Below are 27,859 nucleotides of genomic sequence, written 5' to 3' on the forward strand. Positions count from 1 at the left end.
ACCGTCTCTCATGTGAGTCTTGTGACAGTTTCAGCAAGTACAAAGCACTATGGGGTTTTACAATGATTTCTGTAATCTTTTCTTTTTTTCTTTTTTTTTTTTTTTGAGACAGAGTCTCGCTGTGTTAGCCAGGCTGGAGTGCAGTGGCATGATCTCACCTCACTGCAAGCTCCGTCTCCAGGACTCAAGTGATTCTTCTGCCTCAGCTTCCCGAGTAGCTGGGATTACAGGCGTGTGCCACCACGCCCGGCTAACTTTGTATTTTTAGTAGAGACGGGGTTTCACCATGTTGGCCAGACCGGTCTCAAACTCCCGACCTCAGGTGATGCGCCTGCCTCGGCCTCCCAAATTGCTGGGATTACAGGCATGAGTCACCACGCCTGGCCTATTTCTGCAATTTTATAAGGCAATTATTTCATCATAATTTGTTTGCTTATCCTTTTTTTTTTTTTTTATACCGAGTGTTGCTCTATAGTCCAGGCTGGAGCATGGTGCTGCAATCTCGGCTCACTGCATCCTCCACCTCTCAGGTTGAAGCGAGTCTCCTGCCTCAGCCTCCCGAGTACCTGGAATTACAGGTGCACACAGCATGCCAGGCTAGTTTTTGTGTTTTTAGTGGAGACAAGATTTCACCATATTACCCAGGCTGGTCTCCAACTCCTGGGCTCATGTGATACACCCACCTCGGCCTCCCAAAGTGTTGGGATTACAGGTGTGAGCCACCTCACCCCACGGCTTGTCCTTCTTAAATAAGAAGTAACAGTGTTACAGTTCAAAATTCTATTTTAAACTTTTTAAATATTCTGTTTCTTGACTTTATCAGGATGTTTCTTTTATTGATGATCCACAAATCTTGATTTCATAGCCGTTTGTAAAAACAAACAAAAAACAAACAAAAACTATTATTTATAAGAAAAAAGCTGTTTTGAGTTAAATGGGGTTTTCAATAAAACTGTAAGCTAGGCTGGGCGCGGTGGCTCACACCTGTAATCCTAGCACTTTGGGAGGCTGAGGTGGGTGGATTGCCTGAACTCAGGATTTCAAGACCAGCCTGGGCAACAGGGTGAAACCCCGTCTTTACTAAAATACAAAAAATTACCTGGGTGTGGGGGCAAGTACCTGTAGTCCCTGCTACACGGGAGGCTGAGACAGGAGACTTGCTAGAACCCAGGAGGTGGAGGTTGCAGTGAGCCAAGATCATGTCTGCATTCCAGCCTGGGCAACAGAGTGAGTCTCCATCTCTAAAAACAAAAACAAACAAACAAAAAAACAAAACCAGTTGGCCAGATATTCATTCATTCCGATGTAGTCAACACTTTTCATTTTCAACACTTAACACAATTAATGCTAGGTTGAATTACTTTCATAATATAAACTATTTTACATAATTCCCAAAGCACTGAGGATCAATCATAAATACTATCCACAAGGCAGCCAATAGACAGACACACACAGACCACCTCTCATATAACTTTGGGATAGAGCATTCAATCAAGAAAAAGTCTTCCAGGTATAGCCATCAATTTGCCATCATTTTGTAGCACTGATCTTGCAAAGATTTTTTTTTTTTTTGAGGTGGAGGCTCGCTCTGTCACGCAGGATGAAGGGCGGTGGCACGATCCACTCACTGCAACCTCTGCCTCCTGGGTTCAAGCGATTTTCGTGCTTCAGCCTCCCATGTAGCTGGGATTACAGGCAGGTGCCACCACTTCTGGGTAATTGTTTTGTATTTTTAGTTGACACAGGGTTTTACTATGTTGGCCAGGCTGGTTTGAACTCCTGAATTTCAGTGATCCACCTTCCTTGGCCTCTCAAAGTGCTGAGATTACAGGTGTGAGCCACCGTGCATGGCCTGATCTTGCTTGGATTTTTTTATCTTCCATAAAATGATTAATGCTGCCCATCATATTTGAGAGAAATTAAATACCAAGGTGTAAAATTTTGTGCAATAGGCCAGGCATGGTGGCTTATACTTGTAATTCCAGCACTTTGGGAGGCCGAGGCAGGCAGATCACTTGAGATCAGTAGTTCTAGACCAGCCTGGCCAACATGGTGAAACTCCGTCTCTACAAAAAATACAAAAATTAGCTGACCGTGGTAGTGTGTGCCAGTAATCCCAGCTACTTGGGAGACTGAGGCAGGAGAATCGCTTGAACCCAGGAGGCAGAGGTTGCAGTGAGCAGAGATTGCACCACTGCACTCCAGCTTGGGTGACAGAGTGAGGCTCCCTCTCCGGAAAAAAAAAAAAAAAATTGTGGAAGGCCACAAACCATTGCAACAACTATAATTCATTTTACCTTCAATAACCAATGTTCACCCTCTTAGGGGCAATATCACTCCCACCAAAAATGCTTGGCCAGGCACAGAGGCTCATGCCTGTAATTCCAGCACTTTGGGAGGCCAAGGCGGGCAGATCCACTGAGGTCAGGAGTTCCAGACAAGCCTGGCCAACATGGTGAAACCCCGTCTCTACTAAAAATACAAAAATTAACCAGGCATGGTGGCACGCACCTGTAGTGCCAACTACTCAGGAGGTTGAGGCAGGAGAATCACTTGAACCTGGGAGGTGGAGGTTGCATTGAGCTGAGATTATGCCACTGCTCTCCAGCCTAGGTGACAGAGTGAGACCCTGTCTCAAAAAAAAAAAGAATGCTTCCAGTAAGGCTAAATAAATATACAAATTAGGCATGTGGCATGTGTGTTAGTATACGTACAATATATTTCCTAGTTCTGCCCACTAAGAGGGCCTAGAAGCAATGACACACCCATAGCAATGAGCACACGTGTCACCCCGATCTTGGCGATTTTGTTTTTGTTTGGTTTTTAAAAATAGAGATGGGGGTCTCACTGCATTGCCCAAGCTTGTCTCAAACTCTTGGCCTCAAGGGATCCTCCTGCCTCAGCCTCCCAAAGTGTTGAGATTACAGACCTGAGCCACCTCACCCAGCCCAAGATTTTGGTGCTTTGTAAATAATACTTTTCAATGAAAGAAGCCAAGGATCTTTAAATAAATGGTTTATTCCACGTCTGGGTCAGGGAAAATACCAGATGAATCAAAACACTTTATGTGCCAGAAAGTTGGTAATTAGTCCCACACCCCAACCCCCTGATAAAGGCATGCTATAAATAGAACACAGGAGCCAACCTAAAGAAACGCCCAAGGCCAATTTTTTTTTTTTTTTCTTGACGCAGTTTTACTCTTGTCACCCAGGCTGGAATGCAGTGGTGTGATCTTGGCTCATTGCAACCTCCATCTCCTGGGTTCAAGCGATTCTCCCGCCTCAGCCTCCCGAGTAGGTGGAATTACAGGTGCCTGCCACCACGCCCAGCTAATTTTTTGTACTTTTAGTAGAGACGGGGTTTCAGCAGGTTGGCCAGGCTGCTCTCAAACTCCTGACCTCAGGTGATCTCCATGCCTCGGCCTCCCAAATTGCTAAGATTACAGGCATCAGCCATTGCACCTGGCATAAGTTCGTATTGTTTTCAGTATCACAACCACATACATGTTCAATTGCACATATACTATGTTCTCTACAAATGTGCAGTTTGGACCTGCCTCATCTTGGTACTCTACAACAAGAGCATTGCATTGTCACACATGTAGACAATGAATTGACTCAGAATCACAAATACTTGTACTGGGGACCTGTAGGGAGAAGTCAAGCCCTAGGAAGAGTACCAGGTCATCATCTGGGAAAGGAAATATTAGGAGTATTTGGGGTGTGAATAGTACTGTATTGAATTCCAATTCATTTCAAAATATATTTCACAGATTATCACAAACCAGGAAATAAGTTGTGTGTATTTTTCTTTGTTTTGTTTTGTTTGTTTGTTTGTTTGTTTGTTTGTTAGAGAGAGTTTTACTCTTGTTGCCCAGGCTGCAGTGCAATGCCACGATCTTGGCTCACCTCAACCTCCACCTCCCCAAAACCTCTGCCTCCCAGGTTCAAGCAATTCTCTTGCCTCAGCCTCCCAAGTAGCTGGGATTACAGGCATGTGCCACCATGCCTGGCTAATTTTGTATTTTTAGTAGAGATGGAGTTTCCCCATTTTTTTTTTTTTGAGACAGATTCTCACTCTATTGCCCAGGCTGGAGTGCAGTGGTGAGATCTCAGCTCACTGCAACCTCTGCCTCCTGGGTTGAAGCGATTCTCCTGCCTCAGCCTCCCAAGTAGCTAGGATCACAGGTGCCTGCCACCGTGCCTGGATAATTTTTGTATTTTTTAGTAGAGTTGGGGATAAGCCATCTTGGCCAGGCTGGTGTTGAATTCTTGACCTTGTGATCCACCTGCCTCAGCCTCCAAAAGTGCTGGGATTACAGGCGTGAGCCACCGAGCCTGACCAGTTTGGGTTTTTTGAGACGGTCTTACTCTGTCATCCAGGCTGGAGTGCAGTGGCATGATCTCGGCTCACTGCAACCTCTGCCTCCTGGATTCAGGTGATTCTCCTGCCTCAGCCTCCTGAGTAGCTGGGATTATAGGCGCATGCCACCAATCACGGCTTTTTTTTTTTTTTGTATTTTTGGTAGAGATGGGGTTTCACTGGGTTGGCCAGGATGGCCTCGATCTCCTGACCTCGTGATCTGCCCGCCTCGGTCTCTCAAAGTGGTAGAATTACAGGCATGAGCAAGCATGCCCAGTGAACTGTGACCATTTTGAAAGCCATGATTTATGGGAATAGCAGTTATTTCTCTTTGTGTAAATAAACAGAGGCCACCAAAATAAGAACAAAGAGAGGCTTATGCATACAGAACTTGCTACAGAGTAAGGGATCCATTTGTTTATGTTGTCTATAGATTCTGGATATTATTAGGCCTTTGTTGGATACATCGTTTGTGAGTATCTTCTCCCATTCTGTAGTTTGTTTACTCTGTTGATAGTTTGTCTTGTTGTGTTTATGCTTTTATTTTACTTTAATTTTTTTTTTTTTGAGGCAGTCTTGCTCTGTCACCCAGGCTGGAGTGCAGTGGTGCGATCTCAGCTCACTGCAACCTCTGCCTCCTAGGTTCAAGCAATTCTCCTGCCTCAGCCTCCTGAATAGCTGGGATTACAGGTGTGTGCCACCACCACCTAATTTTTGTATTTTTATTAGAGACAGGGTTTCACCATGTTGGTCAGGCTGGTCTCAAACTCCTGACCTTGTGATCTGCCCAACCTGGCCTCCCAGCTTCTGGCTTAATTAGGTACCACTTGTCTACTTTTGTTTTTGCTGCAATTGCTTTTTTGGAATCTTAGCCAAAAATTATTTGCCAAGGCCGATGTTGAGAAGAGTGTTTCCTAGGTTGTCTTCCAGGATTTTTATAGTTTGAGGTCTTATATTTAAATCTTTAATCCATTTGGAGTTAATTTTTGTATATGGTGAAAGGTAGGGGGCCCACACTCAGTCTTCTGCATGTGGGTAGCCAGTTATCCCAGAATCATTTGTTGAATAGGGAGTCCTTTCTTCATTGCTCACTTTTGTTGACTATGTCAAAGATCACATGGTTATAGGTGTGTGAATTTATTTCTGGGTTTTCTAACCTATTCCATTGGTCTATGTGCTGTATTTGTACCACTACTATGCTATTTTGGTTACTGTAGCCTAGTAGTATAGTTTGAAGTGGCATATATGATGCCCATCAGCAGTGGATTGGATAACGAAAATGTGGTAATTATACACCATGGAATACTACATAGCCGTAGAGAAAGAAACCATGTCCCTTGAAGCAACATGGATGCAGCTGGAGTCCATTATCCTAAACAAATTAATGCAGCATCAGGTAACCAAATACCCATGGTCTCACTTATAAGTGGGAGCTAAACATTGAGTACACATGGACACACAGATGGGATCAATAGACACCAGGGTCTGCTTGAGTGGGGAGGATGGCATGAGGCTATGGGTCAAAAAACTATTGGGTACTCTGGTTACTACCTGGGTGACAACATCATTTGTACACCAAACTCCAGTGGCATGCAATTTACCCGTGTAACAAGCCTGCACATGTATCCCTTAAACCTAAAAACAGAAAAAATTAAAAATAAATAAATAAATGAGGTATAAGTCTAATTGTTGAATGTTGTGAATAGTAACCAACAGAGCCATTGAAAATAGTGAGAGTGGCCGGGTCGGTGGCTCACACCTGTAATCCCAACACTTTTGGAGGCCAAGGTGGGTGGATCACAAGATCAGGAGTTTGAGACCAGCCTGGCCAAGATGGCGAAACCCCGCTGCTACTAAAAATACAAAAATTAGCTGGGCATGGTGGCTCATGCCTGTAATCCCAGCTACTCATGAGGCTGAGGCAGCAGAATCACTTGAACCTGGGAGGTGGAGGTTGCAGTGAGCTGAGATTGCACCACTGCACTCTAGCCTGGGCGACAGAGCAAGACTCTGTCTCAAAAAAAAAAAAAAAAAAAGAAGAAGAAAAGAAAAGAAAAAGAAAATAGTGAGAGCACCATATAAGGAAAGTGGTTCAGGCACTGTGGTAAGGGGTGAGTGTCAGCCAAGTCATCAGCTATCAGAACACGAAGCCATCAGGTAATATATCAAGTTGATACATTAAGAAGGAGGGGCCGGGCACGGTGGCTCATGCCTGTAATCCCAGCACTTTGGGAGGCCAAGGCAGGCGGATCACGAGGTCAGGAGATCAAGACCATCCTGGCTAACACGGTGAAACCCCGTCTCTACTAAAAAAAAAAAAAAAAAAATTAGCCAGGCCTGGCGGTGGGTGCCTGTAGTCCCAGCTGCTGGGGAGGCTGAGGCAGCAGAATGGAGTGAACCCGGGAGGTGGAGCTTGCAGTGAGCCAAGATTGTGCCACTGCACTCCAGCCTGAGTGACATAGCAAGACTCTGTCTCAGAAAAACAAACAAACAAACAAACAAACAAACAAAACAGAAGGAGGAGGATCTACCTATTATATAACAGAGATAAGCACTCAGATATATGGATTATAAATAGTTTAGAAAATTTAAATATTTGATTATTCAGAAAGTAGACTTGGGACTATTGGAGAAACAGGGTGGGGAGTAGACTGCATGGAGAGCTCTTTCTTAGTGTGGGATTTTCAATTATGCACATAGGTTTCTTACATAACATGGAAAATTCAATTAAGAAACAACATTGTGTTTTGGGGTCCCAAAAGTTCAGTGATTGATTAGAAGGACTCACAAAACTGAGTCAAGCTGTTATACTCATAGTTATAGTTTATTACAACAAAAGGATACAGATTAAAATCAGCAGCAGAAAAAGGTGCATAGGGCAGAGTCCAGGAGAAACCAAGCACAAGCTTCCAGTTGTCCTCTGCCAGTGGTATCATGTGAACAGTGCTTAATTCACCCAACGATATGTGGCAGAAAGTACAGAAAATACTCCCCAACAAGAAGCTTACCTGAGTCTTGGGGTTGAGGGTTTTACTGGAGGTTGGTCTCATGGAAAAGAGCACCCATTTGGATGACCTTAGTTTCCTGTCTCCACCCTTCCCAAGGTCAAGCTGACACTGCATGGTCCAAGGTCCCCACAATAAATCACATTGTTAACTCCCACATAGGCAGGAGATTCCAAGGACTTAGAGGTTATTTCCCAGGAGCCGGGCTAGAGTCACACCATTCTTTGGAGTATGCCAGGTTTGGGCAATTCAGGCCTACTAAGTTTCCTTGACTGCACCCAAGTGATAGTGAGTATGTAGGAAATGAGTAGTCGCATATATTGCTGGTGAAATTAGTGTTATATAACCCTTTGGAAAGAAATCAAGTGTGTAGTGCATAAACATTATATTTGGTCTGATTTGTTTTTGTCTAAGACAGGGTCTCACTCTGTCACCCATGCTGGAGTGCAGTGGCATGATCACAACTCACTGCAGCCTCGAACACCTGGGCTCCAGCTATCCTCCCACCTCAGTCTCCTGAGTAGCTGAGAGCACAGGCACGTGCCACCACACCCAACTAATTTGTGTGTTTTTTGTACAGACAGGGTTTCACCATGATGCCCATGCTGGTTTCAAACTCCTGGGTTCAAAGAATCCCCTACCTCAGCTCCCCAAAGTGCTAGGATTACAGGAGTGAGCCACTGCACCCAACCTATATTTGTATATACATTAAATTGTATATGTTAGGCCAGGCGCGGTGGCTCACAAGTGTAATTCCAGCACCTTGGGAGGGCAAGGTCAGTGGACCACTTGAGGTCAGGAGTTCGAGAGCAGCCTGGCCAACATGGTGAAAACCCATCTCCACCAAAAAGACAAAGATAGCTGGACTTGGTGGCAGATGCCTGTATTCCCAGCTACTCAGGAGGCTGAGGCAGGAGAATCACTTGAATCCAAGATGTGGAGGTTGCAGTGAGCTGAAATCACACCACTGCATTCCAACCTGGGTGACGGAGCAAAACTCCACCTCAAAAAACAACCAAAAATTTGGGTATGTTATTGTATGTATGTGTATATACACATATTAAATATATATACATATATTACATTTTATACACATACATTTGTTTCCTCACGCTATTTGTTTCAGCAGAAGTAAAAATTAATAAAGGTATAAGTAAAAGAATATTTACAGAAGCACTATTTTTGGTGGCAAAAGTACTTTAGCATTTTATATGCTGATATAATGGAAGATACTTTAACTCTTACAAATAATGAGTTAGCTTTTTATCTACTATAAAGATATCCTAATATCTTTATACCTAAAGTGATATCAATGGCAAATTGTTATATGAAAAAGGAGAATGCTTTATAATTGAAGAAAAAAAGAAAGAAACGTTATATAGTAGCCCTCCCTTATCTGCAGGAGATGTGTTCTAAGACCCGCAGTGGATGCCTGAACCTTGGCTATCCAAGGCTATCCAATGCTATCATTGACCCAATTGCTGTCAATCAGAACACATTTCTGTCTATGATTTCCATGCACAAATTTAATGCCTTTTTCATCTTAACTAAGTACTTATCACACATGTGGCTGTATTTTTAGAGCTTGGGGTGCAACAAACAAGACTAACAGAAATTTCTTTTTCCTTCTTACATTTTCACCGCTAGAGGATTTGTTCTTACCATCGATCCTAGCAACCTGAGCACATGACTTCTTTTTCTTTCTATTTTTTTTTCTTTCTTTCTTTCTTTCTTGGTTGCTTGCTTGCTTGGTTGCTTGCTTGCTTGCTTGCTTTCTTGCTTCCTTTCTCTGTCTTTTTTTCTCTCTTTCTTCCTTTTTTCTTTGTTTCTTTCATCTTTTTTTCTTTCTTTCTTTCTGTTTATTTATTTATTTATTGAGATGGAATCTCACTCTGTCGCCCAGGTGGGAGTGAAGTAATGCGATTTCGGCTCCTTGTAACCTTCATCTCCCAGGTTCAAGTGATTCTCATGCCTCCACCTCCCAAGTAGCTGGGAATACAAGCGTCTGCCACCACGCCCAGATAATTTTTGTGTTTTTTGTAGTGATGGGGATTCACTATGTTGGCCAGGCTAGTCTTGAACTCCTGACCTCAAATGATCCACCCAGTTCAGTCTCCCAAAGTACTGGGATTACTTGCATGAGCCACTGCACCTGAGCTGTATATGCCATTGTATGATTGCAAATAATTATATGAATCTTGGAGAACATCATGGAAAGATGTTCATCATCTTGTTAACTGGTTATTTCAAGAGTGGAACTGGAAGGGGAATACTGCCTTTCCTGTGTATTTGTTTGTAATGTTTCATTTTCATTATGAACATGTATTATTTTAATATGTTTAAATATTAATAAACACAGGCAAAAATATGTAATTTTAATTCAAGCTGAAATCGTCAAGGCAATCATACATAACAGATGGAGCAAATAAAACATTTAAAATCCCTGAATGAAAAGGAGGGGAGGCCGGGCATGGTGGCTCACGCCTACAATCCCAGCACTTTGGGAGGCCGAACCAGGCAGATCACTTTGGGTCAGAAGTTTGAGACTGCCTTGGCCAATTGAGACCCCTTGACTCGATTGGAATTGGTCCCACAAACTTTTTTTTTTTGAGGGAGTCTCGCACTGTCACCCAGGGTGGAGTGCAATGGGGCAATCTCGGCTCACTGCAACCTCTGCTCCTGGGTTCAAGAAATTATCCTGCCTCAGCCTCCCTAGTAGCTCAGACTTCAGGCAATGAAACTAAAGAAAGTCAGGGGATGGCTAAAGGATGGAGGATACCTGGGCTGGGGGAGGAGGGAGAATGCGACGGGTGAACACAGACAGGCTTCCAAAGTGGTGTCCAGGTTGTATTTCTTCACTAGGTGGTGGGCACACAGGCATGCATTTTTCCTTATCTTTAAATTGTACATATTTCATACACTTCTCCATATGTATTATACATTTCAAAATAGTACATCTTTTAAAAAATCACAGTGGTTAATGCAATCAGTACAGGTGCCAGGCACATACCAGAGACTCCAGGTGACGGCATGCTCTCCTCTTGGGCTCCTCATCTAGGGCTGAAAGTTTATTTCTCACCCCTGCTGCCAGCACCCGCCATGCCAGCCCATGTCTCTAAGTGCTGAGGGGAAGGTGTATGAACAGAGACAGATACGGCCGTGGAGGAACCCGGAGGGAGGGCCCTCCACTTGGTGAGGACAGATTGTGAGGCTGGTCAGTGCTGAAGCTGAGTATCTTGCTTACTAGAGCAAAGGGGAACTGTGCTTATAGGACCATCTCTCAGAGCAAAACAAATTAAGTCTCTTGGGAAGCCTGGCATTGAGGATTGTCCAGCTTTCAGAAGTGAGAGTGTTCAGCCTGACTTCAGGGGCACAAGGTTCTTGCTGCCTGGGCCTGTTCTGTAGTGTGGGGCTGTCCCTGACTGGCCAGCTTTCAGAAGCATGCAGCATTGTCATTGACTTATTGGGGTTTCATGCCACCACAGCCAAAAAGCAGTTTGTTTTTGTCCTTGAGTTTGGACTATAGATTGTTATTCTCTCCAGGCAAAGGCAGGAAGCACACGGGAACAGGTAGTGCCAGGTGGCTGCAGGCAGGTGGTCTGGCTGGAGCTCAGTGCAGAAGCACAAGACGGTGGTGAGGAGTGAGGCAGACCCAGGGGACTGAAACACCACTGGAAAGAAGGTTCCACCCAGAGCAGTGGGGGCCACAGAGTGATCCTGAGGGGAGATATACACAGAGATGCGTTTGAGGAAAAGCAGAGACCAGTGGGAATGCTGGTGCTCTCCGCCAGAGGAGAGGCGACGGTGATCGGGACGAGATAGAGACACCGAGGCGGTGAAGATGGAGAGGCCATGTGAAGGTGGAAGGGACAGAATTTGGTGACAAGCGTCCAGACTGACGCCCAGGTTTCCACTTGGGGAGACCACAAGGTGGCAGGGTGAATTCCAATGCCAGGTCTCCGGGGAGAGCACACTCAGGAGGAAGATGAGAGTCCGGGTCCCTGTGGGATGGACGTGGAGCCCTCCAGGGGCATTGAACTCTATAGATCTGCCAGTCAGGGGCAGAGGGGTCCAGGGCAGAGGAGACAGAGATCTGGGCACCACCCACGAAGGCACAGTGGGCAGGGGATGGAGCCCTCTGGAGGGAGCCAGCGCAACGGTGCGAGAAGGAGCTTGCAAAGGAAGCAGAGCAGCAGCCAGGACAAGGGAAGGCACCCGCGAGGAACTTGCCTGCAGACCCCAGGGTTGAGTAGGCTTTAAGGAGGAGTGCATGGGGAGCGTTGGGCCGCTCACAGACTGAACACACAGAGGCTGGCGTGGATGCCTGTGGCCTCTGCCCTTGCAACAACCTCTGTCTTGGGTCAGGTTTCCTGGAAGCAGAGCTGAGATGGAATTCCTGTGGAGGTGATTATGGAGGGAGTGCTCCTAGGAAAGGAGAGTGGGGGTAGAGAGCCGGTGCAGAGACCTGAGCAAGGCTATGACTGCTTCAGCCTGGTTGGATGAAGGGGAGTTCAGGAGCACTGCACCTCACGGCTGTCCCTGCCTTGAGGCCAGGACCATTTTGTGTCTCCTCTCCCTCCCCTCATCAATCAGGCACTGGGTTGTGGGGGAGGGTGTGACCTTCTGGGTGAGGCAGTTTTCCCACTTGGCCTAGGGCAATGAGCCTCCGCTATCCTCAGGCGGCCACCATTGCCTGAAGACAAGTGAGACCCCATGTGCTTGGGCAAAACCAACCCCTTCCCAGCTCCCAGCATTCAGGGAGGGTCTTTGAGTAAGACCACCCTAAGCTGCCTCCTCTGCTGGCAAACTCCCTGTCACTGCTTTCCCCACTGTCTGCCACTGTAGACCCCAGGATGAAGCTCATTATGCTGCTTCTCCCTCTGTATGGAAAGTTCGAGTCCCCCCAGGCCACCCCTTGCCCCAGACAGCTCTGTATAACCCCTTCTCAGACCCCTTCCCCCATCCCCAGTTCCCTCAAACCCTTCCACTCTCGAGCTCCTGACCAGCCATGAGCAATGTCCCCCATATCCTAAACTTTTTGTAAACCAAAAATAAAATTCTGAGGGCCCCCCAGCCATCTGAATGGACCTCCTCCTCTGCCAGGGCACTCTTATAATGTAATCTGAAAGACTGGTTCAGGCCATGATGGGAAGTGGGGATCGGACTTGCATGATTATCGCTCCAGCATTAACATCAACACACTTTAGTCTGATAAGAAACATTTTACAGGCTCTCTGAAGCCTGCCACCTGAAGGCTTCCTCTGCAAATAAGAACTTTGGTTTCCACAATCCTTTATCTTAACCCAAACATTTTCTTTCTATTGATCCCAGGTCTTTAAATCAACTCAACCAATTGTCACTCAGAAAATTTTTAAATCTGCCTATAGCCTGGAAGTCCCCCCTCACCCACCCCCCGCCTTCTAGTTCTCTTGCTTTTCTGAACCAATTTATTTCTTAAATGTATTAGATTGAGGTCTCATGTCTCCCTAAAATGTGTAAAATGAAGTTGCACCCTGACCACCTTGGACATATGTTCTCAGGACCTCCCGGGGGCTGCATCATGGGCCATGATCACTCAGGTTTGGTTCAGAATAACTCTCTTCAAATATTTTACAGAGTTTGACTCTTTTTTGTCAACACTTTGAGCATCCCCTTGACTGTGCTGTAACTGGAGATGGACACCCGCTCGCCCCTCAAGGACCGCATCGCTCTCCAGCACTCCTCCTCTTCTTATAACTTTTGGTGATTTCCGTTTCCAGGGGGTGATCCCTGCAAAACCCTGGCCTGCTCTCCTTTCATGGTCTTGACCTCAAAACTACCCCAGCCCTCCTCTCCCATGGCCACACCCTAGATATTGTGGCCCATAACCATAAAGTCTTCTCTCTCCACGAAGACAATTCCGAGTGGCCAACCAGCAGCAGGAGTATTGCCATCTTGGATAAGCACTGGTCAGCATGACCAAAACCCACAAATAACATCTCAGACCAGAAACATTCCAAACCCCTCCCTCACCAGAGGCTTGCCAGCCCCGAGATAACCTCCCCTCCGGCCAGAGATATGTCAGCCCCAAAGCTGCGTTTTGTGTTTCTTTCCTCTTTCTTTAACACTTACACTCCTGATTGTGTCCAGCTGACTTCTGCAGTGCCTCACCTAAACATTCCTTCAATGGCTGGGCTTACACTCCACTGATCCCTCCACATTTTCACTGTGGTCACCCCTCTGTCCTCCCTCCTCCCTCCCAGGTATTATGGTGGGCACCAAACATTCTCAGCAGCATATGCCAGTTCCTCCAAGTCTTCTCTTCATTAGACCAACGTCCCCAGGCCCCCAGTTTTCCCCAACAGGATATGGACCACAGATCAGCCATGTCCTAGCATCTTCACCTGGTGCTTCTGTCCATCTGTCCATGTCTTCTTGTCCCTGGAAAGCATGTTCTCTGAGAGCAGAGATTGTGTTTCCTGCATCTCTGTCTCCTGTTGCCCAGCACAGAATTGGTGCTCAATGAAGATTTGTCCATCCAGATGAAGAATGGATGGGTGGCTGGATGGGTAGGCAGATGGATGATGAGTGGGTAGATGGGTAGGTGGATGGGTGGGGACAGATGGATGGATGGAGATAGATGGATGATGAATGGTGGATGGATGAGTGGGGGGATAGATGGATGGGGATGGATGGATAATGAATGAATTGGTAAGTGGATGGGTGGGTGGATGGATGGATGGGTGGATGAGTGGGTGGATGGATGGATGGGAATAGATGGATGCTGAATGGGTGGGTGGGTTGATGGATGGATGGGGATAGATGGATGATGAATGGATGGGTGGGTGGGTGGATAGATGGATAATGAATGCATTGGTAGGTGGATGGGTGGATGGATGGATGGGTAGATGGGGTGGATAGATGGATGGGTAGATGGGGTGAATGGATGGATGGGTAAGTGGATGGATGGATGGGAATAGATGATGAATGGATGAGTGGGTGGATGGGTAGATGGATGGGGATGGATTGATAATGAATGAATTGATAGGTGGGTGGGTGGGTGGATGGATGTATGGGTGGATGGATGGATGGGTAGGTGGATGGGTAGATGGGGATAGATGGATGATGAATGGATGAGTGGGTGGGTGGATGGATGGGGAGGGATTGATAATGAATGAATTGATAGGTGGATGAGTGGGTGGATGGATGGATGGATGGGGATGGATGGATAATGTAAGAATTGGTAGGTGAATGGATGGATGGGGTAGATGGATAATGAATGGATTGGTAGGTGGATGGATAATGAATGGATTGATAGGTAGATACATGGATGGATGTACAGGAATGAATGGATAATGAATGGATTGGTAGGTGGATAGATGGATGAGTGGATAGATGGATCGATAATGATTGATGGATGGATGGATGGGGATGGATGGATAGATAAATGGATTGGTAGGTGAATGGACAAAAGGATGGATGGATGAGTGGGTAGCTGGATGGGGAATGAGTGGGTAGGTGGGAGAATGGATGATGGATGGATGGATGGATGGATGGATGGATGGATAAATGGAGGGATGCATGATGAATTTCTCCCTTGTTCCCAGCCTAGTCCTAGAATATGTTGCCTCTTCTCAAAAATAAGGTACCACAAAGCCTCTGGTGACGGTGGAGCAAAGGAATAGATGGTGAATGTCTCATACCCACTTCGGATCCAGAACAGGCCTAGGAGAGACTCAGGTGGGATCTGCTGCTGAGGAAGGGGGTTGGGGCTGAAGTTGGAGGAGGAGGGCAGCTCTAAACCACCTGTTCCTGGCTCTAGGCCTCTCAGGCCAGACAGCCCCCACACGTTTCTGCAGATGCCCGCATCATGGTCCTGAGGGGATGGGGGCTGGCCTGGAGCCTTTCCCCCGTGGTGTGTGGCTATAGCGGGGACATGAAGGGGGTGTGTTGGGGACGTAGTGACCACTCCCTTCTACCGTCAGAGATCCTGCTTCCCCCTGCCCCCTGCCCCTCCTCGGCTGCCCTTCATAACCCCCCACCCACTCCCCACCTGCCATCTCCTGTGCTTGTGCGGATCCAGGAAGCACCTACCTGGGCACAGAGATCATCGCTCGGTGCCTCGCCCCTACACAAGGGCGATTAACTTCTCTGTTATGAACTCCTACTTAGTAATTCTGACATGAAACTCCCACTAGGATAAAACTTGGCGCAGAACAGCAATTACTGAAAACACATTTTTAAAAAGGTTGATGTTTTGTAAGAGTTCATCCTCCTCCACTCCTCAGCCTCCCTCAAGGAGACACATATTTAGATCTTCTCTGTGTGAGTCTAACTTGGAGACTGTGAGTTGCAGTTTAAAAGGGGCTCTGGGGCCAGGTGCGGTGGCACACACTTGTGGTCTCAGCTACTCAAGAGGCTGAGATGTGAGGAACGCTTGAGCCCAGGAGTTCAAGACCAGCCTGAGCAACATAGGGAGATGGGATCTACCCAAAACACTTAACAATAAGGCTGGCATGGTGGCATATGCCTGTGGTCCCAGCTACTTGGAGGCTGAGGCAGGAGAATCATTTAAGCCTGGGAGATCGAGGCTGCAGTGAGGTATGGTTTCAACTGCTGTGCTCCAGCCTGGGAGACAGGGCAATACTGTGTCTCTAAAAAATAAAAAATAAAAATAAAAAAATAAAGGGCTCTGAGCCCAGCCCTCTGGCCAGGGCCTGGTGCAGTGGCAGAGGCTTGGGTCCCTGCCAGGTCTCCTGAAACGTCTCCAGGGTCTGCTGGGGCAGCCACCTGGGTGCTCAGTTGCTCTGTTAAACAGCAAAATTCCCAAGTCCTCATCTCAATGAGCCACTGAGGCCGATGAAGAGGGCCTGTCTCATTTAGGACATGAGTGGCCAGGCGGGTGCCACAGGCCCTTTTCCTGGTGACAACAAAGCCATTGCATGGCTCCAGGAAGGCCACATCATTTCCCAGGCTTCGTAGGCACCTGCGGGGCGGAAACAGTTCAGCAGGGCCCTCCTGATCACAAGGACGAGGTCATACCGGCTGCTGCACGGCAGGGCTGCACTCTGCCAGGGAGCGTCCTGTGAGGGAGGGGCTGCACTGCCACTTTACTGATGAGGAAGTTAAGGTTCAGAGAGATGAGGTCATTTGTTAGAGGCCAGACAGCCTCCTCAGCCCATTTCTAAGGTTGTTTCTGTGGTATTTGCCATAAAGCCATAGGTTCATTGATTTGTTCTTAAGTAGTTCTGAGCCCTTCCTGCATATCAGGCAGGGACAAACAGGAAAGTCCCTGCCTTTGGCAAGTGCGGGGGAAATGAAATGATTCTGCTCAGCCTCATCCATTGGTCTGAACAATCACGTCTCATGACCGCAGGGACACGGCTTCCCCTGAACGCGGATCCTAGAGGCCAGGCAGAAGCAGCATGGGTTTCCACTCACACGGTAGGCGGCTGTGCAATTTCGTCTGGAGTCCCCAGACCCCTCCTCATCCTTCCCAGGGTTGCTCTGAGGCCATTCCTTGTCATCTAGGAGGGGTCTACATAAAAGCATTTATAAACACCTCCAAATGGGAGCCAGGCGTGCCCACCTTTGGAGCACTTTTCTCTACTGCAAATTTATCTACTGCTCGTGAAATCTCTGGATTTAACTCTGATGAAAGACTGGAGGCTGAAGGAGAACTTCAATATCATATATTTTAAAGGTTGATTCACAGTTTGGAGCAAGAATTAAAGAACCACGAACTTCAAGGTAAAACGGGCAACGGCGTTGGGGCAAGCCTCTCTGCATCTGCGTGTCCAGCCTCTCCTGCGTGCCAGAAGTTCCCAGGCAGGAGTGTGGTGGGACATCCGGCTGGGGTAAGGACAGGCACCCTCCCACTGTGTCAGGGCCCAGAGAGTGGGTGGAGAAGCTCTGCAAGAGACCTGTGCAAGGGCGCCTTGCAGGAGCCTGCAGTCCCCACAGGTGTGTTTGTGGATAACACTTGGGGAGCCCTGGCCTTTTGGGGTCACGGAGGGCTTGGCCTCTCACCTCAGAGCTGCAGAGAAGCCGCTTCTACATCAGGACATCAGAAGCTGGAACAGGATGGCCGGCGAGGGGCCTCTTGTTGGGGTCACAGAGATGGGTCGCAGAGATGGCCCGTGTGGAAGGTTGGATTCTCACCCCACCTCTGCCCCTAGATGTCCTGGTGACCCTCCCCTCTGTAGTCTTGGTTTTTTGCAAAACAGTTATGACCTCCTGCCATACTGGGTACTTTGCTTATGTATTGTGTTTACTCTTTACTGTGTGTCTCTCCTGCTAAGGTCTACGAAGAAGGGTCTTTGTGGGTGGGGTTCTTAGAGGCATCCCAAGTACCAGAAGCAGTCCCTGGACTAAGGGGCTCAATAAATATTTTTTATTTATTATTTTTTCTTTTTGAGATGGAGTCTCGCTCTCTTGACCAGGCTGGAGTACAGTGGCACAATCTTGGCTCACTGCAGCCTTCGCCTCCTGGGTTCAAGTGATTTCCGGCTAATTTTTGTATTTTTAGTAGTGACGGGGTATCACCATGTTGGCCAGGCTGGTCACAAACTCCTGACCTCAAGTGATCCACCCGCCTCAGCCTCCCAACATGCTGGGATTATAGACATGAGCCACCATGCCTGGCCAAATATTTGTCAAATTGAATTTGTATTTCCATACAAATTTTAGTCTGGATAAAGTGCTTCATGCCTGTAATCCAAGCACTTTGAGAGGCTGAGGCGGGTGGATGGCTTGAGCCCAGGAGTTTGAGACCAGCATGGAAAACATAGAGAAACCCCATCTCAATATAAGAAGAAGAAGAAAAAGAAAAAAAAAATCAAAAACGAAAACAACACAAATTTTAGAGTAAGTATTTTAAGTTCCACAAAAACCTGGTTAGGATTTGGATAGCAATTTCTTTAGTTCTACAAATCAATTTGGAAAAAATTAATTAATTTGGGAAGAATTCATTTTGAGTCTTCTAATCCATGAACATGGTATCTCCATTTGTTTAGACCATCTTTAATGCCTACTAATAACATTTCTGTATAGTGACCTTGCACATTATTCTTAGATTCTTGATATTTTGTGCTATTATGTCTTTTTATAAATTTTATTTTTCCAACATTGTTGCTAATATATAGTAAGAAAATGGAATCTTGCCTATAGATTTTGAACCCAACAACTTTGCTAAACTCCTCTGAATCCTCAGAATTTCCCTGTGGATTATGTAGGCTCTTCTGCATACACAACCATATCATCTGTGAATAAAGACAGTTTTGTTTTCTTCTTCACAAACTTTACCCGACTCACTGTGCAGTCTGCCACATCCAGGCTGATATTGAATAGCAGTGGCACTAATAGGATTCTTTGCCCCCTTGCCAATCTTGTAAAGAAAGCTTTCAACATTTTCCTGTTAGCTCTGTTGGCAGCTCTGACTTTTTCCATAGATGGCCTTCATCAGCTTAACAATGGGTCTTTTCTTCCCAGAGGGCTGAGCTTTTCCTTAAGAACAGACAGTGAGTGTCATCAAACACTAGGCTGCATCTGTTGAGATGGTCATACGACTTGTGTCTTTTCCTGTGTTTGTGTGTGAACTCTCTGGGTGTCTGAGGGTTCTTGTGACTTTCACAGAAGAACACAATTTACCCTCCGGTGTGGGAAGGGGAAGGAGGCAGAGGAAGAAAGACCCCAAGTCCCCCTCATCCCCACTGACCTTCCTGCTGGCTTCGTCCTTGATCTGTGCCTCCTTAGATCCTGCGTTTGAGTACTTGCGGTCATGATGACAGGGCCAACCTCCTGACCAGGGCTGTTAGCACCTCCCCTGCTGCCCAGAGTCCCTGCTCCAAACCACTTCCTTCATCTTCCGTACCCCCAGCCAATATTTCCCTGCCCAGTGTCAACCCAGGCCCAGAACCAGACCACAAGGGACAGCCCCGAAACCCAGAATCAGACAAATCAGCCCGTCCCAAGCTGTCTCCCCTGCTCTGCCCGGCTTTCACAGGGAAGCCAACACAGGCTGTGGCTTGGCCTTTCCCTAGCTCCTTTCTGCCTCCTGGTCTGCCTGCGGCTTCCCCCTGCCGCCCTGCGGGGCCTGCCACGTCTCTCATTTCTAGCGAATGTTTCAAGAGCGATGTTAGACTTTCCTTTCAATAGAGTTGACCTCTGTTAGGCACCTTTATGGATTAAGACCTGGGCATAGATGGTTTCTTCGGCATCACGACCTGAAGGTGCTTGGGAGAGACGGTGAGGAGGAGAATGCACCCTGCCATGCTCTGCACCGCACATGGATGCGGATTTCACCATGTTGGCCAGGCTGGTCTGAAACACACGGAGCCCAAGCGCCCGGTGGACTCTCTGACGGTCCTCGGGCGTGTGCCTTTGTAAGCAGAGTATTCAGCTCTCATCAGGGCCTCGCCAGAGCAGAAATGGTCTGTTGATAAATGCATCGTATACAATTATAAATGTGCACCCAGCATTGCTGCTTCCTCTTTTTTTTTTGATATAGGGACTTGCTCTGTCGCCCAGGCTGCAGTGCAGTAGGGCAGTCACAGCTCACTGCGGCCTCAACCTCCCAGGCTCAAGCAATCCTTCCGCCTCAGCCTCCTAAGTAGCTGGAACTACACATCCAGCTTTTTTTTTTTTTTTTTTGTAGACACAGGATCTCACCATGTTGGCCAGGCTGGTCTTAAACTCCTGGGCTCAAGTGATCCGCCCACCTTGGGCTCCCAAAGTACTGGCATTACAGGTGGGAGCCACTATGCCTGGCCTGCTTCCTTTTGCAAACAGGAATCTTGTAAATAGAATTGATCAGAACTTGTTGTTTAACGTACACAGACCTCTAGCTGTACTGCAAAGCTGTGTGCACATGTGTTAAGTCATCTGTTCTATGTGTTCTAATTATAAATAAGAAAAAACAAATTTCAATCAACCATGCTGGAGGAAGAGCAATTATGTTTCTATTCCTTCTATCATAGGTGATGTAAAATTCTCAAACAATGAGATAGATAAAAAGTACGCAGCCAAAAAGTTCAAGAAGAAGTGTTATGGAGATGGAGCAGGCCCTTCGTAAAAACACGATGTTGGTTTTCTGGATTTTGTATGTTTGCTTTTTTTTTTCCTCATCCTAAAGAAATATTCACTGTCATACCTAATTTTGTTTTTGTAAGTTTGTATTCTTTCTTTATAGGGAGGCCTCACAAAACCCGGATCAGACTCGCCCACTGCCCTGTGTCTGCCCTCCCGACCGCCTCTCCTGCCCAGCAGGGATGAGGGTGGCAGTGGTGCTGTGTGGAGGGTGGCGGGAGGACCTGGAAGACTGCGACCAGTGAGCCGGGAGGCCTTGGGACAGCCTCTCTCTGAATCATCCTGTGCACTGCCGGGTGTGACAGAGGCTCCTAGAATCCTGTCTCAAGTGGCCGCCTTCACAGAGGGAGTCACTGACGTCCCTGCTCAGCGCAGCCCTGGCATGTGGGGGTCCCTCTACTCATGAGAAACCCCCACCCAATCACCGTGAGGTGTGTGACCCATGCTCACATCCAGGGGCCACTCATTCATTCAGGAAACATTGGCCGAGCCCTCAGCAGGGGGCGGTGCTGGATGCCGGGATGTAGAGAGTGGGGTGGGACAAGGACTTGGTTGTGAGACGTCCCAGTCCGGGGAAGGACTAAGAGAAGGTGACATGGACAGTCTAGACTACCCGTCATTGGTTCTCCACTGGGGGCAGTATTGGCAATGTTTAGGTATAAATTTGTTGTCACAATGAATGCTACCAACGTCTAGTGGGTGGAGGCCGGGGGTGCGGCTCAGCATCCTACCAGGTGTCGGACGGCCCCCACCACCGAGTGCCAGCCCCGAGGGCAGCCCAGGGTGCCCCAGTGGTGAGGAGCCCCGGTGTGGAGTGCAGGGTTCGTTTGGACCACGGCTGTAGAGGCCTAGGGGAGCTCCCGCCATCAGGATGGCCGGGCATCAGGGCTCTGTGAGGGGGAAGGGGGCATCAGTGCAGCGGCAGGCAGGGGTTCGACGGGCTGAGTCCTGCGACGTGTTGCATCCACACCAGTGTCTGGGGCCAGCACCACCGCTCAGTCTCTGAACCCACTTATTTCGCCCAATATTGCTTGAGTGGGAAGTTCCACCTTCCCCAGTCGGCTGCTTATCTCGTCTTTCCAATGCAGTTAGGAAGGGAAAATATTTTCTCCCCATTTTACAGATGAAGAAATGGGGCCTGGCGAGGAGCAAAGCCCAGAACTGCTGCCCACCACCCTCCCTGCCTGGTGCTTTCCTGGGAACATGTGGGAGCCCCTGCCTGGACCTTGGGACCTCCCATCTGTAATTGCAGGCCCTGGTCTGCCTGTATGGATGTGGAATGTGTCACTCGGGATCCTGGAGTCCTCCTGAGCTTGTCCAGCAGGGCTGCATTCACTGATGTGCTGACAGAGGCCTAGGCTCGGACCTCTAGGAATATCCAAGGCATCTCATTATGCAGAAAACCACCCTCATGAGGTCCTGGAGGCCTCTCTCCATCTTCCTGGGGGTGATGCAATAGAGTGTAACTTCCATGCTGCCGAGACAGGCCATGAGGGGTTGCCCCCGTTGGAGGGGCAGAGTGGTATTTGTGGGGTGGTAGGAATCATTCAATGCCCAGCTGCAACCCCCCGGGCTCACAGCACACTCTTAAGGCCAGTGCTACCAGCTCCCTTGGGTGGATAGAGGAGCTACGGCTCAGAAGCATGCCCACAGCTCCCCCAGGACCCTGAGGCCAGCCTGTGGCAGGGCCTGTGATTTGAACCCCTCTACAAGGCTTCAAATCAGTGCTGTTTGTCCTGGCCTCATAAAACCTGGCTGCCCAGTTGGGATTGGTGTCATCTGCCTTGCTGAACTGGGCACTCCTTGGGAAGAGGGTGGGTGCTGCGAGAAGGCGGTGGATCCTGGCTGTGCAACCTTCGCAGGTGGCTGAACCTCTCTGTGTCTCAGTTTGCTCATCTGCAAAGGGGGCTGGGATTCCTGCCTACATGCATGTGCTCAAGAGGGAAAGCCAGCCAGGCATGGTGGCTCATGCCTGTAATCCCAGCACTTTGGGAGGCTGAGGTGGGCAGATCACTTGAGGTCAGGAGTTCAAGACCAGCCTGGCCTAAATGGCAAAACCCCATCTCTACTAAAAAAAAAAATAAAAATAAAAAAATAGCTGGACGTGGTGGCGGGTGCCTGTAATCCCAGCTACTGGGGAGGCTGAGGCAGGAGAATCACTTGAATCCGGGAGGCAAGGGTTGCAGTGAGCTGAGATCCCACCATTGCACTCCAGCCTGGGTGACAAGAGTGAAACTCCACCTCAAAATAAATAAATAAATAAATAAATAAATAAAGTAAAAGAGGGAATGCTGAGAGCTGGGCGTGGCCTGTGGCTCTGTAGCTACGCAGGAGGCTGAGTCAGGAGGATTGCTTTAGGCCAGAGATTCCAGGCTGCAGTGAGCTATGATCATGCCTGTGAACAGCCGCTATATTCTAGCCTGGGAAACACAGTGAGACCCTGTCTCTGAAAAAATAAAATATTTAAAAAAGAGTGAATGGTAGGTCAGGGTCTTCTGTAGTGGGGTGGGTCTGGGCAGGGGTGGAGGCCCAGCCAGAGTCACTGGGGTCAGGGAGGGACTGGTAACAAGAATGCACAGCCCTGACCAGGGAAGCACCCAGGGAGCTTTCCCCGTGAAGGGGGGACCTGGCCTCGCCCTGGCCTCACCCCGGCTGTGAGTTGGAACCAGCATGGAGGGAAGCCAGGCCCGGTGCACTCTGCCCAGGGGGATGTAGTTTGGCCAGTGGGGGCTGCCATCAGAGGCTGTCCTTACTGTGGGATCGCTGTGGATGCTTTCCCTTCTGAAGCCTGGAACCTTGGGTCCCCATGCCCTCCAGCTCTGTGTCTCCTTTGTGGGCATCAGGAAGACACATTCCCTGGCCTCCTTTGCAGTGGCTGGCTGTGGAAGGAGGTGCCTGGGGTCAGGTGGGTGTAGGTGGGTACGTGGCATCACGAGGACATATTTTTTTAGAGGGAATTACATTCTTTCTTCCAATTTTTTATTATAAAAGTTTTCCAATTGAAACCACCCACACCCCAAGCCTGGGGCCGGCCTCCCATCACTGCCTTCTCAGCCCTGGGGGAGGCCTCCTTCTTTCTGCATGGCCTCTGGGCCCATCTGAGCATTCCTCTTCCCTGATGGGAGAAACGCCTGGTGGGGGAGAAGTGGAAGTGGGTGTCCAGGCAAGTCTCAAATCCCAATGGCTGACCCGGAATCCCCTCTGCACACCTCTCCTCCTGGTGCCCGGAGGGGGTGCCCACTCTGCTGCCAGGGATTTCCTGAGTAGCTGCTCCGACCACAGCCAGGGAAGAGTCCTTGCAGGAACTCTGCGGGCTGGGCCTGCCCTCCCCAGCCTTGGCATCTTCTTGTTGGTGTCTGAGTTTGAGTCTGTTCTGTGGGCTCTGTGGGAGGTGGGCCCAGCTTCTCACCATGCAGGACCCCTCACCCAGAGCCTGAAACCCGCTTTGACTAACATGCCTCTGGGTTCCTTCACTGGCCCTGCCCAGTCGCATCCCATGGGAAGAAGGACTGGCTGCTCGGGGTTCTCAGACCCTAGCCTGGGAAAACCAGTCTGAGGGCAGGGATAACCCTTGGCCCTGCCTCTGATTGGGCCCTGAGTTAGGTGGGGTTCTTCCCTGCTGGGGGTCCTGGAGGCATGGGAGGGTTTTGGGGTTCTGTGTGAGAGAGGCCTCAGTCCCTTCAGTTCTCACAGATCCCCCAAGGCTGTGTGTCTGATCCATTGCTTTACATAAGAGAGGAATTGGAGCCAGGCAAAGCCCAGGATTAAAATGGGTGGTGGAGGGGGGAAGCTGTGATTTGAATGTGTCCCTCTAAAAACACGTGTTGGAAACTCAGTCCTCAATGCAACAGTGTTGGGAGGTAGGGCCTAAGGGGAGGTGTTTAGGATGATCCATGGATGATCCATGCAGGTAACAAAAGGCCTCGAGGCTGGGTATGTGTTCTCTCACTCTCTCACACTCTCTTGCCATGTGATGCCTTCTGCCATGTGATGACACAGCAGGAAGGCCCTCACCAGATGCAGCCCCTGAAACTTGGACTTCCCAGCCTCCAGAATCATGAGCCGAATCATCTTCTATTTTTTATTTTTTATTTTTTTTGAGACAGAGTCTTGCCCCGTCGCCCAGGCTGGAGTGCAGTGGCATGATCTCTACTCACTGCAAGCTCTGCCTCCCTGGTTCATGCCATTCTCCTGCCTCAGCCTCCCAAAGAGCTGGGATTACAAGTGCCCGCCACCACAACTGGCTAATTTTTGTGTTTTTAGTAGAGACGGGATTTCACCATGTTGGCCAGGCTGGTCTCGAACTCCTGACCTCAAGTGCTCCACCCACCTTGGCCTCCCAAAGTGCTGGGATTACAGGCATGAGCCACCACACCCGGCCTTTTTTGTCTTCTTATAAGGAGGTAAGTTGTATTGAATCAGGGCCCACTCCAATCAGGTGTGACTGCGTCTTCACTTGATTATATCTGCAAAGGCCCTATTTCCAAAAAGGTTGCATTCATAGGTACCAGGGGTTGAGGCTTTAACATATCTTTTAAAATTTTTATTATTTTTTTGAGACAGAGTCTTGCTCTGTCGCGCAGGCTGGAGTGCAGTGGCGCGATCTCGGCTCACTGCAACCTCCACCTCCTGGGTTCAAGAAATTCTCTTGCCTCAGCCCCCCGAGTAGCTACAATTACAGGCGCCCCCACCCACCCCACCATGCCCGGCTAATTTTTGTATTTTTATTAGAGCTAGGGTTTCACCATGTTGGCCAGGCTGGTCTCAAACTCCTGATCTCAAGTGATCCACTTACCTCAGTTTCCCAAAGTGTAACATACCTTTTTGGGGGACAGAATTCTACCCACAAATTCTAGATAAGGAGGCATTGCTTCTTTTTTCTTCTGGTATTGAATGTCACTTTGGAGAAGTCTGATGTCAAGTTGGTTTTCTTTGCTTTATAAGATACTTGGTCTTTCTGTCTGGCTGCCTAAAGGATTATTTCTTTATCTTTAAAGTCCAGTGACTTTACAAAGGCATGTTTTGTGTTGACTGTTCTGGGCCAACACACACAAGTATACAGCTTGCACTTTTACAGGCAGGTGCAAGTCTGCCTGCATTTCAATAAAGAGGTCTTGAATGATAGTTTCAATCCTTGTTCAGCAGGTGCTGTGGTGCACACCTGTGCTCCCAGCTACTCAGGAGGCCTCCTTTTTAATCTCTTTCCTCTTTCTTTCCATTTGCTCACTTTTTCCTTTTTTACGTGATTTTCATGGTGTCTGTGCTCTCATATTACCTGTAACTTCATTTCTTCATTTCTGAAATGGTTCTGTCTTTTTCTTCAGTTTCCTTCCTGAATTCTGTCATGTCCTACCACAGACTCGGCTGCTGTTTGGCCACCTCTTCCCTGCATTCTTATTCTGTGCTTATTCTCCTCTGTTCTTATCCTGTGCTGTAGTCTCCCTTTGGAGCTGAAGTTCTTGTTGGAATATTAGATCATTATTTTCATCTGGTTTGTGGCAGTATTTGTCTGATGAGATTTCTTCATTTGTAGGAAAATAGCACTGCTTTTATTTTTTTTTTTTTATTTTTTAAGACTGCAGCTTGCTCTGTGACCCAGGCTGGAGTGCAGTGGCACAATCGTAACTCACTAGAGCCTTGACCTACAGCCTGCACTCGAGCAATTCTGCTGCCTCTGCCTCCTGAGCAGCTGGGGACTACAGGTGCGTGCCACCATGCCTGCCTGGGTTTCTTTTTCTATTTTTTTGAGAGAGGGTCTCCCTCTGTCACCCGGGCTGGAGTGCAGTGGCGCAATCTCAGCTCACTGCAATTTCTACCTCCTGGGCTCAAGCGATTCTCCCATCTCAGCCTTCTGAATAGCTGGGACTACAGGTGCACACTATCGTGCCCGGGAATTTCTTCGTTTTTTTTTTGTTTGTTTGTTTGTTTGTTTGTTTTTTGTAGAGACAAGGTTTCACGATGTTGTCCAGGCTAGTCTTGAACTGCTGGGCTCAAGTTACCTGCCCACCTCGGTCTCCCAAAGTATTGGGACTATAGGCGTAAGCCACCATGCCTGGCCTTTTTTTTTTTAAGTTAGGCACTTAGGTCTCCTTATGTTGGCCAGGCTGATCTTGAACTCCTGGCCTCACTCAATCCTCCCGCCTCTGTCTTTCCCACAAAGTGCTGGTGTTACTGGAAAAGGGGGGGCTCTGATCCAGACCCCAAGAGAGGTCTCTTTGATCTCATGCGAGAAAGAATTTGGAGCGAGTTCACAGAGTAAAGTGAGAGCAAGTTTATCAGGAAAGTAAAGGGATGAAGAGGAACTGAGGTCTCCTCCCCGCCCTTTTGAGACCTTATAAGGTAACCTCCAGACATTGCCATGGCATCTGTAAACTGTCATGGTGCTGGTGGGGGTGTCTTTTAGCAGCAAATGCATTCTAATTGGCATATAATGAGCCGTGAGGACAATCAGAGGTCACTCTCGTGGCCGCCTTGGTTTTGGTGGGCTTTGGCCGGCTTCTTTACTGCAACCTGCTTTATCAGCAAGGTCTTCATGACCTGTATCTTGTGCCGACCTCCTATCTCATCCTGTGACTTAGAATGCCTAAACTCCTGGGAATGCAGCCCGGCAGGTCTCAGCCTCATTTTACCCAGCTCCTGTTCAAGATGGAGTTGCTCTGGTTCCAACGCCTCTGGCATTGGGATTTCAGGCGTGAGCCACTGTGCCTGGCCAGCATTGCTTTTGGAAGTGGAGAGCGTGCCCATTTTTGTTACTCGTTTATTTGAATAGGATGGCTGTTCCGGCCAGGAGGTGCTGGGCCACGGCTCCTGGGAGGACCATGTGCTGCCGCACATGTGCCTCCCGGGTCTGTCCTCTGTCCCTGGCTGCTCGGGTCAGCCTGGCCTCCGGTTCTCTCCCTTTCTGTCCCTTTTGCACCCTGGCTCCCTCTCTAGGCTGCGGTGCAGTGAGGACGCTGCTCAGGGCTGGAGGCTGGCGGGAGGTTGGGTGTGATGCGAGGCTGTGTTGCCGGCTGTTCTGGGGATGCTGACAACATTAGCGTGGCTCATGTTTATCGTGGGTCTAGCTCCTCTTGTACAGACATGGTCCTCTTCCCTTCCTCCACGAAAGCAGAACCCTGATGCGTGGCGGGGCATGTAGCTGGCCGGAATGAAAACCTGCATCTCCCAGCTTCCTCCCTGATGCTAAGTGGAGCTGAGCTGCTAAGTCGTGGCCAGTGGGTTAAAGGCAGAAGTGCTGTAGGAGACTTCCAGGAAGATGGCTAAAAACAAGCTGACTCAGCTGGGACTTCTGGGATGGGCCCTTTTCTGCCCTGTACTTTTCCAGCTTCCTTCCACCTGTCCTGTGGTCTTGATGGCTGGAGCACCAGCAGCCACCTTGGACCATGGAGTGGCTTTGAGGCTAGACACCATGCGTGGAGGATGAGGAG

At 48.5% G+C, this 27,859-nt stretch overlaps 1 long non-coding RNA gene across 3 annotated transcripts in view; it reads left to right on the forward strand.

The window, feature by feature from the left end:
* Positions 1-26,154, forward strand: part of LOC107987007 (uncharacterized) — a 70,552-nt gene extending 44,398 nt beyond the window's left edge. Inside the window, exons 2-5 of one of the 3 annotated variants that reach the window (XR_007061537.1) lie at positions 16,723-17,203; positions 20,324-20,445; positions 20,536-20,863; positions 21,556-26,154. This is a non-coding gene — a long non-coding RNA (uncharacterized LOC107987007). Of the gene's footprint in view, positions 1-16,722; positions 17,591-20,323; positions 20,446-20,535 lie in introns of those variants that run through there. The other 2 variants (XR_007061538.1, XR_007061534.1) reach the window with 2 other exon arrangements.
* The last annotated feature ends 1,705 nt before the right edge of the window (positions 26,155-27,859 follow it).

Source organism: Homo sapiens, chromosome 9 (genome assembly GCF_000001405.40).
Source record: "Homo sapiens chromosome 9, GRCh38.p14 Primary Assembly".
NCBI classification, from domain to species: Eukaryota; Metazoa; Chordata; class Mammalia; order Primates; family Hominidae; genus Homo; species Homo sapiens.